At 38.9% G+C, this 19549-nt stretch overlaps 1 protein-coding gene across 2 annotated transcripts in view; it reads right to left on the reverse strand.

Annotated features, from left to right (window-relative positions):
- Positions 1-19549, reverse strand: part of MAOB (monoamine oxidase B) — a 115841-nt gene that overhangs the window by 24483 nt on the left and 71809 nt on the right. For both annotated transcript variants that reach the window (NM_000898.5, XM_017029524.3), the window contains exons 4-8: positions 12208-12312; positions 11080-11171; positions 6033-6174; positions 4647-4796; positions 2327-2486 (exon numbers count right to left, since the gene is read on the reverse strand). In NM_000898.5, the coding sequence (NP_000889.3) occupies positions 2327-2486; positions 4647-4796; positions 6033-6174; positions 11080-11171; positions 12208-12312 (649 nt within the window). The remainder of the gene's footprint in view (positions 1-2326; positions 2487-4646; positions 4797-6032; positions 6175-11079; positions 11172-12207; positions 12313-19549) is intronic.

Below are 19549 nucleotides of genomic sequence, written 5' to 3' on the forward strand. Positions count from 1 at the left end.
TCTTTGTGGTGGGTCACTGCACTGACTTTGCAAACAGTAGATTACTTGCCCAACTGATGCACCAATCCAATAGCAGTCCTAAACGTGATTATCTGCAATGTGGAGAATGAGGAGCCTGTGATGCAGCGGAAAAAGAGTAGTTACACAGGAAGAAGCACCCTAAGCCAAAATTGTGGCACTTTCCCCATTTGCCTCCAACCTTCTTTCTGCAGTCTTGCTCCTCCTTGGAGTACATCCCGCCCTTCACCCTCCGTTCTAGATACTGACTCTTCTTACATGGCCTCCACTTGGAAGAAAAGTGGGTTCTATAAGAGCAAATATGACAAGATTCTAGCGTTGTGCTGTCTGCATGTGGCTACTTGCATTTATATTTAAAGCAATTAAAATTAAATAGAATTCTTATGCCTGTAATCCCAGCACTTTGGGAGGCCGAGGCAGGTGGATCATGAGGTCAGGAGATCGAGACCATCCTGGCTAACACGGTGAAACCCCATCTCTACTAAAAATGCAAAAAATTAGCCAGGCAAGGTGGCACGCACCTGTAATCCCAGCTACTTGGGAGACTGAGGCAGGTGAATCGCTTAAACCCGGAAGGCAGGGGTTGCAGTGAGCCAAGATCGCACCACTGCACTCCAGCCTGGGCGACAGAGCGAGACTCCGTCTCAAAAAAAAAAAAATTAATTAAATAGAATTTTAAAATCTGATTCCCAAGTCTCATTAGCTATATTTCAAGTGTTCAGTACCCACATGTGGCTAGTGACTAGTGTATTAAAGCAGCTCTAGAACATTCCCATCATTGTAGAATCCAGCACTTTAGTGAGCAACCCTGCAATGTTCTGCCCAATTGAGTAGTACACTTGTTGAATATGTGCAAGTGAATAAATGAATTTAATTTAATATGGTAGAATCGACACTAGTGAGAGAGAGCCAAGACATTTTCAGAATCTCAACCTTGGTGATTGGCTTTATAAACCCATACTTTAAAACACTGAATTAGAAAAGATTACTCATCTCTTTTCACAAGATTTTGGGGGAGGATTAAATAAACCTTTTATTGATTTACAAAGAGTTGGTTATATTCTAAAGAAAGTTAATTCCATGAGTTTGTGCCAATATATTTTATTTGAAAGAACTGTGCTTAGAACCTGGATTAACATTTTATGTCCAGCATACTAACAAAACAGTTACATGCAAACACATGTCTTTAAGTTTTCAAAAGCAATTGAAACAAAAACAAAAATTGCCAGGTAGGACCTAATTAAACTAAAGAGCTTCTACACAGCAAAAGAAACTATCAAGAAAGTAAACACACAGCCTACAAAATGGGAGAAAATATTTGCAAACTATGCCTCTGACAAAGGTCTAATATCCAGAATCTACAAGGAACTTAATTCAACAAGCAAAAACCAAATAACCCCATTAAAAAGTAGGCAAAATGCATGAACAGACACTTCTCAAAAGAAGACATACAAGTGGCCAAAAAGCATACGAAAAAGAGCTCTGCATTACTAATCATCAGATAAATGCCAATCAAAACCACGATGAGATACCATCTCACACCAGTCAGAATGGCTATTATTAAAAAGTCAAAAAATAAGAGATGTTGGAGAAAAAGGAGCACTTATGCACTGTTGGTGGGAATGTAAATTAGTTAAGCCACTGTGAAAAGAAATTTGGAGTTTTCTCAAAGAAGTAAAAATGGAACTATCATGCGACCCAGCAATCTCATTATTAGGTATATACCCAAAGGAATATAAATTGTTCTACCAAAAAGGCACATGCACTCACATGTTCATCGCAGCACTACTCACAATAGCAAACATATGGAATCAACGTAGGTGCCCATCAAAGGTGGATTAGATAAAGAAAATGTGGTATGTATATAGCATGGAATACTATGCAGCCATAAAAAGAGAATTAAATCATGTTCTTTGCAGCAACATGGATGCAGCTGGAGACTATTATCCTAAGTGAATCAATGTAGAAACAGAAAACCAAATACCACATGTTCCCACTTATAAGTGAGAGCTAAGCATGGGGTACATATGGATATAAAGATGAAAATAATAGACACTGAGGACTACTAAAGGGGGAGGTAAGGAGTACAGCAAGAGTTGAAAACCTACCTATTGGTACTATGTTCACTACCTGGGTGACAGAATCATTCATACCACAAACCTCAGCATCATGCAACATATCCATGTAACAAATCTGCACATGTACCCCTGAATCTAAAATAAAAGTTGACATTTTTAAAAAATGCATGCCTTAGCAACAAGTTTCTTGGACCTTCTTCTAAAGGTTTTTATATAAGGAAAGTACTCACCCTTTTTCCTCCAGAAAGGCTCTTTATAATAAACTATACACTTGATGACTGAACCCAAAGGCACACGAGTGATCATCTGGTTTCTCATCATTGGCAGAGGGGGATTGAAGTGAATCTTCATGCCCAGAGTAGGAGGAATAGCACTAATCACATATTTAGCCTGAAAGAAAAGCAACATGGTTAAACATTGTTGCCGTGTTGCTTTTGTTTTTTTCCCAATGATTCTCTCTCATTCTATCGTTATATTCTTTTCAGTCTCTTAAAGAAGTGACAAGGATTTTGTCGAAACCTAAAGTAGCCCTTATTGTTCCTTAGTTCAAAACCTCCAATGACTTCCCATTGCACTTAAAGTCAAAGCCAGATTTCTCACCATCATCGCCAAGGCCACACATGAAATGGGCCCGTTACATCACTGATCTCACCTCCTGTTACATTTGCCCTGACACTCTTACTTCTGCTATTTTTGTTTTCTTTTTGAGACCCAGTCTCACTCTGTCGCCAGGCTGGAGTGCAGTGGTGCGATCTTGGCTCACTGCAACCTCCACGTGCCCAGGTTCAAGCGATTCTCCTGCCTCAGCCTCCAGAGTAGCTGGGACTACAGGTGTGCACCACCACACCCAGCTAATTTTTGTATTTTTAGTAAAGACAGGGTTTCACCATGTTGGCCAGGGTTGTCTCGATCTTTCGACCTTGTGATCTGCCCACCTTGGCCTCCCAAAGTGCTGGGATTACAGGCGTTAGCCACCAAGCCTGGCCCTGCCATTTTGATCACCTTGCTGTTCCTTGGTCACACCAGGCTTGCTCCCACCTCAGTGCCTTGGCACTGGCTGTTCCATCTTCTTCTCTCAGGGAACCACATGGCTCAATCCCTCGTCTCCTCCAATTCTCTATCAGATATCACCTTCTCAGTGAGGCCTTCCCTGATCACCTTATTTAAACTTGCATAACCAATTCTCCCATCTCACTTTCTGGTATGCCCTCTCCCCACCTTCCTGCTTGATTTTTTCCGCACTAATTATCACTATCTGACATACTTTATATTATAACTATATGTTTCATTACTGTCTTTCTCCTTCACTAGAAGGAGAATTGTATGTGGGCAGAGAATTGTATCTGTTTTGTTCACGACTGTGTTCTTAACTCCTAGAATCATGTCAGGCACATAGGAGGTGCTTGATATTTATCAAATAAATATTTTCTGTGTTTTTCTAATTACATAAAAGCAAAATACAGAGGGTTGATAATACCTTTATAAGTTTTTATAAATCCTCCCCCACCCCAAATATTCTGGTTCTCTTTTCCTTTTTTTCAGTTAGAGATAGCTTTTTCACTATTGGCAAAAAGACTGTCTATAAAGTGTGTGACATTGTTGACTTCGGCTTTGATTATCTATGAGACTGTGGCCTCTTCCCACTTGTTTAAGTGTCTTGGTAACTCTGAGTGGAAAAATTTCAAAGCAAAGTTGAGTTCAAAGCAAATGTTGAGTGAGAGAATGGAAAAAAGTGCTTTTTTCCATTCTCTCACTCAACAACGATCACCACAGAAGACTTCTGTGACCAAATGTGGAGTGGTTTTTCCCCACATATTAAGCAAGCAAGCAATTCTATAGCAGACATCAGCCATGTGTCCTCTGAATTCAACTCAATTCTGACAGTATCTACCTGGAGATAACTTCTGATCCTACAGGTTGAGGGCTCAGTCTCCAAGACTGTCCCCCACCTTCAGATGTCAGTCACAAGTCCAGCTTCCAGAATTTCTGACCAATCTGCTTCCAGTTGATGTTCCTACAACCCCTTCAAGTTTGATTGATTTGCTACAGTGGCTCACAGAACTCAGGGAAACATGTTTACTGTTTTATTATAAAGGATATTACAAAGGGTACAGAGGAAGAGGTGCATTGGGCAAGAGTTGTGAGAAAGGGCATGGAGCTTTCATGCCCTCCCCAGGCATGCCATTCTCAAGGAACCTCCAGTTGTGCAGATATCCAGAAGCTCCCAGAACTCGGTCGTTTTGGGTTTTTATGGAGGCTTCCTTATGTAGGCACAATTGATTAAATCATTGGCCTCTGGTGATCAATTCAACCTTCAGCCCCTTGCCCCATCCCCTCCCTGGAGGCTGGGGGTGGGGCTGAAAGTCCCAACCCTCTAGTCTTTCCATGGTCTTTCCTGTGACCAGCCCCATCCTGAAGCTACCTAGGGGCTGCCAGCCATCAATCATTGGCATCAAAGGACATCACTCTGGAGATTCTAAGAATTTTTAAAGTTGTATGCCAGGAAACTGGGATGAAGATCAAATATATATTTCACAATATCACAGTTACCTCATACATCTCATGGTTTAGGGTCTCCACAAGGACATTTTCTCTTGTCTGGTCAATGTAGATCACAGGCCTCTCCAGCTTCACTCGGTCTCCAAGGAGGTCCATTATCCGCTCACTCACTTGACCAGATCCGCCCACAAATTTCCTCTCCTGGAAAGAGAAAAGGAGGTGAAAGAGAAACGCAGGAATGGGCATAAATTGCTAAATTCTTAGTTGTCCTCACATATGTCTACTCTGAGATGTCTAACATTTCATTTTGCTGCAGTGAATAGTGGCTTTCACCATGGTTTTCTAAGTAGGAATTGCTGTCTTTGGACAAAGTTACAGGATTTCTAAGTTACTTTACAAGCTATGCTCTTGTAGATTCCCAGACTCCAACCTTAGCTGGACATCTTCAGAATGACCCCTGTATCCCACCTTTCTGGTCACCATCCCTGCTCTCTGTCCTATCTGCAGTCTTTTGCTTAGAGCTGGAACTGGTGAAGCTGTACCTAAAGCTCTTCCCTAGCTTGCCTGAGCAGACCTAAGCCTGCTTCCCCTTGCTTTGTGGCTCAAGCGCAGAACTTCCCTGCCTCCCACCATGTCCCCTTCCCCCAGGCCAGCCTACTCCCTGTTGCAGGCTGCCCATCTTATCCTGGGTCAGATGCCTGCTGCTTCTGTAGCCACCGAACTCATTTCACCTCACTGTACCCACCTGCCCTCAGCCTTGCTAAAACTTCCAAATGTTCTACCTGGCTATGCACACAGTTGACCTGGCTGCCTCCTCCTCAATTTTCAGTTAAGGTCAGAGAAGGAGAAGGAGAGGGAGAAAGAGAAAAGGAGGAGGAGAAAGAGGAGGGGGAGGAGGAGAAGAGAAAGAAAGAAGAGGAGGAGGGGGAGAGAGAAGAATGGAACATGACAACCAAGCAGATTATTTAAGAACTCCAATATGTTCCTACTGTGTCTAGCACAGTGCCTTATACAGTGCCGGGGCTCAAGAAATGGGCATTGAATGAATGAATAGATAAATGAATTCCATGAATAGTGTGTGTTTTAAATTGAAAATGCATTACTGAATTTCCTTTATAAGCTTTCCAAGAAGTGCTCAAGCTAAGCTTAATTCAGATGGTCTCCTACAAACTTACCAAATAATAATTGAGCGTATGGAAAATGGCCACAGTGCATAAAGAGAGACAAGCCTAGCTTTAAAATTACATTGGACACTGGGTTCTCACAGTGGGTACCTGACAACAGACTGCCTTACAAGAAACACTTTGAGCTGCCATGGTAATGCTCTAAAAGCCACAAGCCTGCTTCCCACTTCAGCAGTTCATGATTGAAGGATGATGATCTTTCATTTCAGTAGCAGTGTTTTTCCATTGGGACTGTGGAAGAATGGATGGGTACCTGTCCTCCATTTGTTGTCGAGATGATTCTTGTTGTGCCTCCACACTGCTTCACATACCACAGGAACCAGAGAGCAGAGACCTCATGGGTCTCTGCAGTGACACACAGGTTCACAAAGAGAGTGGCAAGCTGCTTTGCAGATCTGCACAGGAAGAAACAAGAGCAAACTTGGCAAACGCAGGAGAGCAGCTTCTTAATTCTCTAAAAATTATTTAAGTAACACATTTTCTTGGTTAAGTTTAAAACAATGTGGTAAGGTCAAAAAATTGTCACTAGAATCTAATATTACAAAACGTGACATCGGAGGTTTTTGAAATATCAGATTATTTTCCCTGTAAACAAAACACCTTACTCAGAATCAGCTTCTATTCCAGATTCTGTGCTTTCATGATTTCTCCTTACATTCCTGCTGCTCTTCCAGTGATCCCCATCTCAGTAAAAAGCACCATCATTTACTCAGTGGTAAAAACCAACACTCTAGAAATCAAACATTATTTCTCTCTTTCCATCAATCTTCCCCCATCCAATTCATTGGGAAGTCCCATTATCTCTCACCACATCACTCCACCTTCACCACAAATTTAGAATCCATCTCTTTCCAGGAGTACTGCAATTACTTCCTTCAGACTGGCCTCTCTGCCTCCATTCATCCTCACCTGGTATCTGTTCACCACACTCAAAGCCAGAGGCTTTTCCCTCCCTCCCTACCATGATGCTCTCTCTGAAGTATAAATCAAATCATGTCATTTTCTTGCTTAAAAAGTCTCCAGTGGTATCCTATTAAAACCAGAATAAGATTCAGATCTTACACCATGGCTTCCAGAGCCCTATGTGATCCAGCCCATGCCTACCTTTTCTGTCTCATCTTGTACCCTCTTCTTTTTACTCTAATGTTTCCTTAGAAAGACATATTCACATTTGTCTATGAAAACGACCACTGGCTTCCATATTCCCAGCATCCTGACATTCTCTATCATTTTGCTACTGTATAGTATCTTTATAACTCTTTTCACTGTCTGAAATTGTCTTGATTATTGGTTAATTCTTTTTAATTGCTGTCTCCCCCCACTAGAATATCAACCTATGAGAACAAGGATCTTCTGTTTCTCACTCACCATAGTGTCCCCTTTAACAAAATAGTGCTTGGAACATTGTAAGCACTCAATAATTACTTGTTGCATGATTGAACGAATGAATGATTGATGAGAAATATCAGTTAAACAAAATTTTTTAAACATCCATAACATGCAAAGGATATGCTAGGTGCTGTACCAAACACAAAATTAGTCACAGTTATCTATTCAGTTATTTTACTGCCTAACAGAAGACAAGCTCAAATAATGGATGAGGGGACAAACAATTAATAGAGCATAAATGGGTAAGCTTTTGCTTGACATTGGCAGGTAAATGGTGAGAGGTTATCACCTATCAGGAAGCACACCAGAAAGCAAACTATCTCATGCAATTTCGAGGACTCCATTATATCTAGCACAGCATAAAATTCATCAGTAGTAGTGTGCACTCTGGGATTTCTTTAATAAGGTCCAATTCCCCTTTTGACTTTGACATGAAGTTTGCATATTGTTAATCTTGTTATATCTGAGGCAGCATTTTCCACCTGGTAATGCTGACAATGGTTGGGATAAATGATATTGTCTTCCATTTATTGAACTCTTTCCACACTCCATTGTCTTTAAAATCATTATCTTGTTAAATTGTTGCAACAACCGTATCAAATATCTATTATTTTTCCACAGTTCACATGCTAGAAAACGGAGTCTCGGACAGTTTAGGAATATATAACGACACAACTTCAAGTCAGATCGTACTTGACGCAAAACTCGTGCTTTTGATACCTCAAAATGTTTTCTAATTAGTCAGCTGACAGCCTTGGAAGTGCAGCTACTCACCAAGGGGCATCTCTCTACTTTACTGTATCTTGACCCTAGAAGTTTGTAGAATCATGCCTAACACACATACCAATTATTGACATTATTTGCAGCTGTAACAACCTGACAGCCCGTCTATGACAGTCCCCATCATTACAGCCTGTGAAATGGTGTCATATATACATTAAAGCGACTTACAGTTAGTTTTGTAAGATTTCTCAGGATAATTGAAGGGATGGAAATTGCTAGCTCATGCCTTCCTTGCAGAGGCAATTTGTAATATCTAACTAAAACACATATCCAGACGTCAATTTAAAATAAAAGTAGTATTTTATTTGTTGCTTCCTAAAATCCTATTTCTTTTCTTCCTTATTTTTTAGGTGGATTGAGGGGCATACAGTAAAGGGAGTAATAAATAACTGAAACCTAACATTGGCCCAGCTGGAGAGCCAATATTTAACAAAAATATTGCTGGAATTCTAGTTGTTATTGTTGGCAATTTGGTGGGAAAGAAATAATTCTGGTTTGAAATAAAGGGAGATCTAAAAGTAATTCTGAAGGGCCAGTCCATTCCTAATCCTTTATTTGAATTTACTCTAGGAGCTTCAGTAAGAAAAGAAATAAGAACAATATTTGAAGGATGGAAGGTCAAGGAAGTTAGTGCAATATTTCCGTATTTTTTGCCCTGTTGACTTTTTAAAAGATAAATGTTATAATATTTTTCTACATGAAAAATACATACACATTATATAAAATTTGGAAAATTTATAAGATAAAAGGATGAGAGAACGAGTGTCTTCCATATTTCTGCCCCTCCAGAAGATAATTACTAGTCTCATTTTGATGCATTTTTTTCTAAGTATAGGTCTTTTAAAAAATGTTTTTACATAGCTGTGATCACATTGAAAATACAATTCATGTTTGTGAAGTGCACTTTGTAAATGATAATAACTGAAAGAATAATCAACATTAGTCTTGGAATGTATGATTGTGCTTTAGTTTGAACAACAATAGGTTGGATATTCTGGGGATTACTTCATTTAAATCCAGGAAATAATACTGTGTGTATCTTGCTTGGGAAGAGTTGGAAAATTGTCTTGTGTTCTTATACTCCTAGTATCTCAGAATGCTTTATTTTGTCAAATGACAACTTAGAATATTCACTAAGTGGAGGACTAGGCCAAGGGCTACGATAGAAAATGTCGGGTCCCTGTGATCCCAAAAACATATGATTGATTTTATCACCAAGAAACTTAAAAGTTCTCTGAGGAGAGAAGACCTAACTGAATTTATTAAAAGCTTTTCATAACAGGAGTTATAAAACAAATGCAGATAATTACATACTTATTATATTTTGAAAATCTAAAGTATATAATTTAAAACTAAATACTACAATTTTATTACTATTAAAATAAATTATATTGCAAACTACATTCTCATAGAGGTGTTAGATAGCATTAGGTAAATGTTTAAAAGAATATAATTAATAACACGCATTGATTTCATGACATAAAAGGATTTTACTATTCCAGAACTGGTTGCTTTCAAAGGTTGAAAACACAGGAGAGGCATAAAGATGTTTATTATAGAGTATTGTATAATGATAATAACAAAAAACAGAAAGTAACCAATGTGTTCAACAGGATGATAATGGACAAATACATTACGTATTCATTTCCCATGGAATATTCTGGTACCATGAAATATGATGTTTAAAGAATAATTTTTAATGATGTAAAGTTTTTAAACATTTTAAAAATAAATGTTTGCATGGTAATATTAAACGTTAAAAATACTTCAATGGATGTCCATTGCTTTTGCAGTGCATATATAAATAGTTGTTTTTAGAAATGAGATCATATACCATACCACAATAGCCTGCTTTTCTATGTGTTTAATATTACTATTTTTTCCAGTCATTAAATATTCCTCTACAACACGATTTTTTAAAACCCTCAAGTACTCAATTTTTTAGATGTTCCATACTTGATTCTGCCGATCTTCTACTATTGGGCTTTCAGATCCTCCCTTTTAAAAATAATGCTTTGAATCTGCCTCTTTCACTGTTTCTCCCTCTCCCTCTCTCCTTCTCTCCCTGTATGCCTCTCTCTTCTTTTTTTTTTTTATTATTATACTTTAAGTTTTAGGGTACATGTGCACATTGTGCAGGTTAGTTACATATGTATACATGTGCCATGCTGGTGCCTCTCTCTTCTTTTGCCTCACTTTCTTAAAGCTAAATTATTAGAAGCTGAATTTTTATATGAAAAATATATGAATTTTATGTCTTTTGATTATTTCCATTTTTAAGATTCAGATATTCTAAAAGCTTGTTTTTACTTTTAGTTGGCAGTGAATGAATGCCTAAAAATGAAGACATTAACCCCCGAGCCAAACATATTCTCAACTAATGCTCTTTAGCAAGACAGGGCAGTCTCCTTGAATTTGGCTTCCATTTCTCTTATTTTGTTTACCACAAATTTACCACGTGCTTGAATGGGAACCCTCATAATCCTTTCCATTTTCCCTGCTGTCCAAGAGCAGTGTGGCCTCTCCATGTGGTCTGTCTATACAAGCCTTCACAATTTCTCTACAGTTCCCAGTTCTGCCAACAAGAATTTAATGCTTAACTCATAGGTACTTGTTTTTTCACTAAAGGGGAACAGCCAGTCCAGTCACACATGTTTCCCCTGTAGTTGTGACCTATCTACACAAAGGCTTTAGAGGTTCCTCTTTAAGTCCTTGAAGAATTGCACTACTTCACACAAGGTGTGGCAAATGCACATGCTAACCATCTCCACATTTGACCACCAGTGAAGAATACAAAAATTGTCCTATATCAACAACTTAATAAATGAGAGCTTTAAGCTGATGGTCTTTAAGCTGTTTCAGATAAAGAAAGTGGTACCTTCTGGTCTGTTCTGAGGACTTCACAGGGTAATACCACCTTTGTGATACAAAACTACTCCAAAGAAGTAAGTTGTATGTACAGATATCTTCAGGGTAGGAGCCAATTCCAATGGTTTTCAGCATGCCACTGGCTGGTGGTGTGGTTTTAGACACAAAGCAGCTACTTGTCCCATACTTGTTGAACGGTATTGCTAAATAAACCTAAAAGGTGGTCACAGTAAATGCCTGTGCCTAATGGCAAGACTTACTCAGTCCAGCAGAGCTTGTCCAGTAGCTCCTTCATTGTCATGTTGTCCCACTCTTCTGCAAGGGGAGCCTTCCATGGGGCATCACTCGGAATCTACATTCAGATGAGGATTCGAAGGAGAAAGACAAATGTAATTTTCTCTTTTATTTTATTCATTTTTGTAATTTTCCACTTTAAATAACTATTCAAATAGTATTAAAAACTCTACCTTAAAGAGGAAAAATGTTAAGTTTTCCAAATTCATCCAATATTGCTTTTACTGCATAATCAATGCTGTCTATGTAGCTTTCCTATTATAAATCTGTACCACCCAAGCCATATTTAATTTGTGATAAAACTTCCTGCACAATAAATAGAGGCATGTTGTAACTGGGCTATTTCTAGATATGGATTCCTAAGTTACTAACTTCTAGAGAACACTCATAAATTTAACTATTTAACAAGGATCACAGAGCTGCAGCAAATCATGTCTATGGAGTTTTCAGTTAAGCTTTATGTGTGTTCAGAAACAGAAAACCAAACACCACATGTTCTCACTCATAAGTGGGAGTTGAACAATGAAAACATATGGACACAGGGAGGGGAACATCACACACTAGGGCCTGTCGGGGGTTGGGGGGCAAGGGGAGGGAGAGCATTAGGACAAATACCTAATGCATGTGGGGCTTAAAACCTAGACGATGGGTTGATAGATGCAGAAAACCACCATGGCACATGTATACCTATGTAATGAACCTGCACGTTCTGCACATGTATCCCGGAGCTTAAAGTAAAAGAAAAAAAATGCTTTATGTGTGATTACTTATGACTTGTTTGGGCATGGTGGTGAATCAAAGACCCAGAAGTCTAATTTTGCTATGTACTGAAGATTTCCAAAATTTGAAACATCATTCCAAGAAGGCTGAGTGACACCCAATCTCCTGCCCACTCATCAGTAGTATACAAATATCAATCTGTTTGACATCTTATTATTGCAGAGGTTAGAAACAAGTTCATTCATTCATTTCACAAATCTTTAGTTACCATGTGTTCACAATGTGCTAGGTGTTGGAGATATATTTTACTTTCTTTCTTTGAAGGATGAAACTTATTACAAAAAAGAATACAAATATAGTCAAAGAAGCTTTACCTCTCGCCCCATGTCATCCATTGTCCTCCAAAAGTTGTTATGATCTAAGTAGGTAATTGGATTCCATACAGGTGGGAATGGCCCCCTGAAGGGGTATGATTTGCCCTGTGAGATACAAGATATTTTTAAAAGGAAATATTTACTACAATGTAAAAGTAGGTAATCTGCCAAATTGGTAAATGTCTGCAAGCAAAATTATGTGAGTTATCAATATGTGATATACACTCAACTTTTTAGCTCCTTGTGTCCTCAGAACCCCACTTAACTTTTTAGCATAGAGATTGCCAGCAAAATTCTCTGTTAATTAAGTTCACTGCCACACCAAGCACGGTAAAGAGGTTTCTCTCTGAAACTGGAGCCTTTACCATACAAAATGTAAATACAAGTACATAAGTGGAGTTAACCTAAGGAAATCTTATTTGTCAATGGTACTTGCAAATATCTCAGAGTCAGGAGCCTCTGTGTGCCTGGAGAGTCAGAAAATTATAACTATAAGCATTATACAACTTAGAAGGGGATCAAAAATCAATCACAAGAATGCAACCATCTGTTAGAAGAACCACAAAACAGGGCCCAGAAAGCTTTCCCAAGGACTCAGATGTGCTAGGTAAACACAGGAGTTCCCAGAGATCAGCAAAGTCAAAGCAGAAAGATTAGACAACTTCAAACTTCTCTTCTAGACATGTTATACCACCTGGTTCTTCCCACAGGGATACCTCGACACAGAAATAAAGGGAACACATTGTTCCAAGGATTTAAAATAAATAATATCTGGGAGAATTAACCTGTTGATGGCACTTAAGAGACACGCAAAAAAACCCACTTTGGGTCAATCTGAAAACCCGAGTCAGAAGCCAGGTCGTGCATTCTGATAGCATCTTTCAACGGAATCAGAATAACTTAAGGTTCTCAGTCAACAGAAACTTCCCCAAAACTCTGAGTCATTCAATAAAGATGCACCTTCTGTTGATGTTGTACAGGCAGAGAAACTAGAATTGTGGAATAAGAGATTTCGTATTTGTTCTTGTATTAATTCTGTGGCCATGTTGGTCTTCTCTCTCCAACAAGGCCATAAGATTCTCAGGGAAGGGTTGAGATACAGCTTTATGTTTCTTCTCAGCCAGGATTCCTTAGAGAAACAGAACCAACAGGAGAAAGAGAGAGAGAGAGAGAGAGAGATACATACATAGATATATAGATACATAGATACATAGATATAGATAGATGATATTGATATAGATATAGATGGAGAGAGAGACAGAGACAGAGAGAGAAACAGAGAAAGAGAGAAGGATTCAGATTTATTTTAAGGAATTAGCTCATGTTGATTGAGAGGGACGGCAGGTCCAAAATCTGTAGGGTAGGTCACGGACCCAAGGAAGAGTTGCAGTTTGACTTCAAAGGCAGTCTGCTGGCAGAATTCCCTCTTTTCCTGAGAGTCATCAATCTTTTTCTCTTAAGGACTTCAACTGATTGGATAAAGTCCATTCACATTATGGAAGTTAATCTGCTTTGCTCAAAGTCTACTGATTTAAATGTTAACCTTATCTTAAAAATAGCTTGACAGAAACATTAGAATAATGTTTGTCCAAATATCTACACAAGTTGACGTATAAAATTAACTGTCACCCTTCTTAACACTATTGAGGTGTACTTTAGCTACAATGTACTCATTTTATTTTAGTTTAGTTTCCGTATTTTGTTTTTTATAGTTAGAAGTAATTTTAAAAATTTTAACCTGCCATTAAAACTGTATATATTTACAATACACAACATAATATTTTGAAATATGTATACCCTGTGGAATGGCTAAATTGAGCTAATTAACATACGCATTACCTTACATACCTATCATTTTGGGAGGTGAGAACACATAAAATCTATTCTCTTAGCAATTTTCAAGACTACAATACATTGTTTTTAACTATAGTTACCATGTTGTACAATACATCCCTTGAACTTATTTCTCCTATCTAACTAAATTTTGTATCCTTTGACCAATATCTCCTCACAAATGTACCCACATTAAATAATTTAACATGCAATTTGGGGAGTTATGACACATGTGTACACCTATGTAACTACCACTCCAATCAAGATATAAAACATTCCCATCATTCCAGAAAGTTCCCTCTTTCCCCTTCCTAGACAATCCCTGTCCCCTTTCTGGCCCTGGGCAACCACTGTTCAGTTTTCTGTCACTTATAGATTGTTTTTGCCTGTTTTCACATTTTTTAATGGACTCATACAAGATGTACACCTTTGTATCTGGCGTCTTTTGCTCAGCATGACATTTCTGAGGTTTGTCCAAGTTTCCGTTTGTTCCTTTTTATTGCTAAGTAGTGTCCATTGTATGGATGCATCACGGTTTGTTTCACCTGTTGATAACTATTTCTAGTTTTGATCTGCTGTGAACAAAACTGCTATAAACATTCTTGTACAGGTCTTTTTGTGTACATATGTTTTTTTCTTCTCTTGGGTCAATGCCTAGTAGTGGAATGGCTGAGTCACACAGTGGGTGTATGTTTAACTTTTTAAGTTTAATAGTGTTCCAAAGTTGTTGCACTGCTTTACATTACCAACAGCAATGCATGAAAGTTCTAGTTGATCAGAATACTGACACTTGCTGACTTTTCTTTTATGCTTTATGCTTTAAATATAGTTTCTATTTGTTTTACACATTTTTACAAAGTAATTTGTTTTACAAATTTTTACAAAGTAACTTTGTTTTACAAAGTAATATTTGTTTTATAAAAAAGTTGCAAAGATAGTACAGAAAGTTCCCATATACCTTTCACCTAGTTTTCTCTAATGTTAGCATCTTACATTACATGGTACATTGCCAAGACCAGGATATCGACACTGGTAGATCACTATGTACTAAACTTCAGATTTTATTTGGATTTCACCCATTTATCCACTAACCATCCTTTTTCTGTTGCAGGATCCCATCCAGGATACCACATTTCATTTAGTTGTCCTGTCTTCTTAGTCTCCTATGGTGTGTGATAGTTTCTCAGTAGTCCCTTATTTTTCATAACCTTCAAAGTTTGAAGAATACGGGTCAGTTATCTGGTAGAATATCCCTTAATTTGGATCTGTCTGAAGTTACTTTTTTCATTTTTAGATTAGGACTATGAATTTTGGGGAAGACTACCACAAAGACCAAGTGCTCTTGTCATCATGTCACCTCAGAGGGCACTTGATATCAATATGACTTATCACGGATGATGTTAACCTTGATTCCTTGCTTAGGGTGGTGTCTGTCAGGTCTCTCCACTGTAGAGTTGCTACTCACCCCTCTTCCATGCTCTGTTCTTTGGAAGAGAGTCATTAAGTTCAGATCATCCTCAAGAGGGGATGGTGGGAGCTAACTTCCACTTTCTGGAGATGGAGAATCCCCACAAATTTTTTGAATTCTTTTCTAAGGAAGATTTTCCTCTTTTCCCCTTTTACTTGCTTATTCATTCATTTATTTATAACAGTGGACATATATATGTGTTTTATACCTTGTGTTATAATCTAATACAATATGATTTATTTGTTGCTCAAATTATTCTACTTCTGAGCACTCCTTCAGGTCGGCTCCTGAGTCCCTTTGACATGTCCCCATCCTTTTGTCTGTTGAGCATTTTTTTCATTTTTGGCACTAGAAGATTCTCCAGACTCATCTTCTATTTTCTCTGCCCAAGCCCTAGGATCTGTCATTTGTCCAAGAAGGCTTTCCTTTTATCAAGAGAGTGGTATTTAGAAGCAAGTTCTGGCTGCTGAGTGCATGCTGATTTTGTTTTATAATCAGCTTTATTGAGAAATAATTCATGTTCCATACAACTTGCATGCTGACCTGAAAACCTCCACTTATCCCTCCTTCATCAGAGTTCAATACATAAAACTTGCTCAGCAGAAACCTGTGGATTGATCCAGGGACCATTCTCCACGAAGAAGAAGTCAATCCCCATTCTAGCTCTGCCTCTCCTAAGATGACTGACACAGAGTAAGACAGTTACTTAATCGTCCAGGCCCCAGATATCAGTCTTTGTAATTCAACATCTATTGACTCCATCGTCTTCTTCCAGGAAGTATGCCCAGATTAGCATAAACAGTTGGGTTAGGTGGTCTTCTCAGTGTCCCAGAGCTCTCTGTTTCTCTTTCATCTGCCGCTAACTCCACTGCACCAGTTTCATGCATTTACTATTCTATCTCATTCACTGGGCCCTACGCTGCAAGAGCATGGGCTCTGGAGCCAGTCTCCCTGGGTTGAGTCATGGTCTGCCACTCACTAGCTGTGTTAAGTTGCTTAACTTCTCTGTGCTTCAGTTAACTCAGTAGTGAAATGTGATCATAGTAACTGTCTTGGAGGCATGTTAGAAAGATGAAGTGTGTTGATACATGTAAATCACTTTGAACAGTGGCTGGCATGTTGTAAGTTCTCAATCAATATTATTACCGCAGCTGCTACTATTATAATTATAATCTTTGTATGCCTAGGACGTGCTGGCAGAGACTGCTGGCACACAGTAGGTTCACAATATATGCTTGATATAATCTCAGCTGTGTGACCTTGAACTTGTCATTTATTTGACACACAATGCCCCGATTTATAAACTGATCTTTTGTACTTTGGTTCCTTATGTTATAACTATCTATCCTACTTGTTTTAAGTCTCCCCTTGAACCCAGACCCACTATGGTCTCTGCAGATCCCTACCAGCAGAGTAGTGCCCAACCCTGCCCCCTCAACACAATGCACTTGTACAAAGTGGGTGTGGGATGGAACTTAAATAGCAAAGAACCAAATCAAGATGCACATTGAGAGCAATGTGCATCTATGACTGGTGTACAAAGTCATCCTTCTGCACTATCAGTGTGGCATTGTGCCCACGAGTAAAGGGAATCACAAAGAGATAAAACCATAAGCAGCTAAATAGCCACACCATAAGTGGGAAGAACAGCATATTTTTGCTTGAAAATCCATTAATAAAAAGATAGGAAGAAATCAGTATTCAGCCAAACAATTAAATTATTTAGGTTTTTTTGTTTGCTTGTTTTCACAAATGCATTGGTTCAGCCAGAAATCACCACCAGATGACTTGAAGAAGAATGTGAGCCCAGCAGATGTGGTTAATTAATGTCTGTCTGTCACTGCCAGGGCCTGCACCAGCAACCATGGCAGCTCCTGGAAACATAAAGACAATTGATTCAGAAAGTGAGAGCTCAGTCTGACACATGGGACTTGGCCTGGGAAAAAGTGAAGGACAGCTTTTGGAACAAGGCAGAGTTAACTAACTAACCATGACCTGCATGTGGAGCCCTGCCCAACAAAAGCATCCTGCACATCTATATCTATATCTATATCTATATCTATATCTATATCTATATCTATATCTATATCTACACATAGACACACACACACACACACACACACACACAGAGTCTTGCTCTGCTGCCCAGGCTGGAGTGCAGTTGCACAATCTTGGCTCACTGCAACGTCTGCCTCCTTGGTTCAAGCGATTCTCCTGCCTCAGCCTCCTGAGTAGCTGGGATTACAGGTGCACACCACCACGCCTGGCTAATTTTTGTATTTTTAGTAGAGACGTGGTTTCACCATGTTGGCCAAGCTGGTCTTGAACTCCCGACCTCAAGTAATCCTCCCAAAGTGCTGGAATTACAGGTGTGAGTCACCGCACCCAGCCATATCCTTCTATATTAACCTCCCACCAGAACACATAAGATGGGCACCTCTCCACCATCCCTCCTTCCTTTCCCCAGAGATAAATTATTTGTACAGTACATGTCATATGGAAATGCTGTGATGAGGGTGGGAAGGGGCCCCTTCCAAGACTCTATTTGACAGATCCCATCTGAATAACCCAGTTGAAATGTCACCTCAGCTGAATTATACGGATTCTCATTCAATGGAGTCCCAAAAATATTGAGGGTTGCCCAAATAGCAATAATCCCAGCAATGCAATGGTGTCAAAGACCAGCTGTTAAAGCCCTCCTAACTCAGGAATGCTCCTAGAAAGGAGGTTTGCTCAAGACTCTAAAACCAAAAACAGAGTAAATGTGTGAGTAAATGGGAACCAAACAATATGTAAAGGAAACTATCATGAAGCAGAATAAAACACTTTACCCTTTAACCTCCTTGGTGTCTTATGTCTAAGCAGGCAACAGCTTAGTTTAGGTAAATTCATAAAAACAAATCTTCTTTTGTAAGATTAGGGAAAACTTCTGATAAACACAGGAAAGAGCTATTGTTAGACTCATAAAAATTTGCAAATCTTCAAGCTTCAGGGAGTAAGTGGGGTAAGGAGGAAATGTCTAAGTTTATAAGATTACACAATCTGAGGCAAGAGTTTTGTGCCTCACATTTGGCCATGATGGAAACATTCCAGTGATTATTACTGTTTTGAACATTGTCCAGGGAGGCTTGTTCTTCTGAAGAAATCATGAGAAGACATTAGAATAAGTCCTTGTCCTAGGATGTACCTAAGTTAAAAGGTCTAATTACATATAGCATTTTTCTTTGATCATTACAGCAGCCCTGTTAAGTAGGTCCAGCAGAAGTTATTTCTTCCTTTTACAGGTAAAGGAAATATAGCTCAGATAAGTTTAAATGACTAGATTGGGATCTCATAGCTCATGAGTGAAAGCTATTGGAAGGGCCGGGCGCGGTGGCTCACGCCTGTAATCCCAGCACTTTGGGAGGCCGAGGCGGGCGGATCACGAGGTCAGGAGATCGAGACCATCCTGGCTAACACGGTGAAACCCCGTCTCTACTAAAAATACAAAAAATTAGCCGGGCGTGGTGGCGGGCGCCTGTAGTCCCAGCTACTCGGGAGGCTGAGGCAGGAGAATGGCGTGAACCCAGGAGGCGGAGCTTGCAGTGAGCCGAGATCGCGCCACTGCACTCCAGCCTGGGCGACAGAGCGAGACTCTGTCTCAAAAAAAAAAAAAAAAAAAAAAAAAAGAAAGCTATTGGAAGTTCAATTTGATTTACAGTAGCTGCCATGGTCACTGTCTTCTTCAAGCCAGATGTGAACAAGATCCGCAAAATGTAAATTAATGTCACTCACTCATTTTGTTTGTTTTAGAAAACAGTTTTTAATAAAAATTTATTATGTTTACTTATAGTAGGGTTATTATTGTTATTTTAAGTAATTAAATCATGTCAATAAATATTGTTAAGATTCTCAATTTCAATTTATAAGATGGCAAGTATAGAGAGATAGAGCCACAAAAACAAAAGCTACTTGGAATTCTTAATAATTTTTAAGACCCTAAAACTTAAAGTATAATAATAATAAAAAAAAGAATGTAAAAAAGTTAGAGGCTCTGGACTA

This window comes from Homo sapiens, chromosome X (assembly GCF_000001405.40).
Source record: "Homo sapiens chromosome X, GRCh38.p14 Primary Assembly".
NCBI classification, from domain to species: domain Eukaryota; kingdom Metazoa; phylum Chordata; class Mammalia; order Primates; family Hominidae; genus Homo; species Homo sapiens.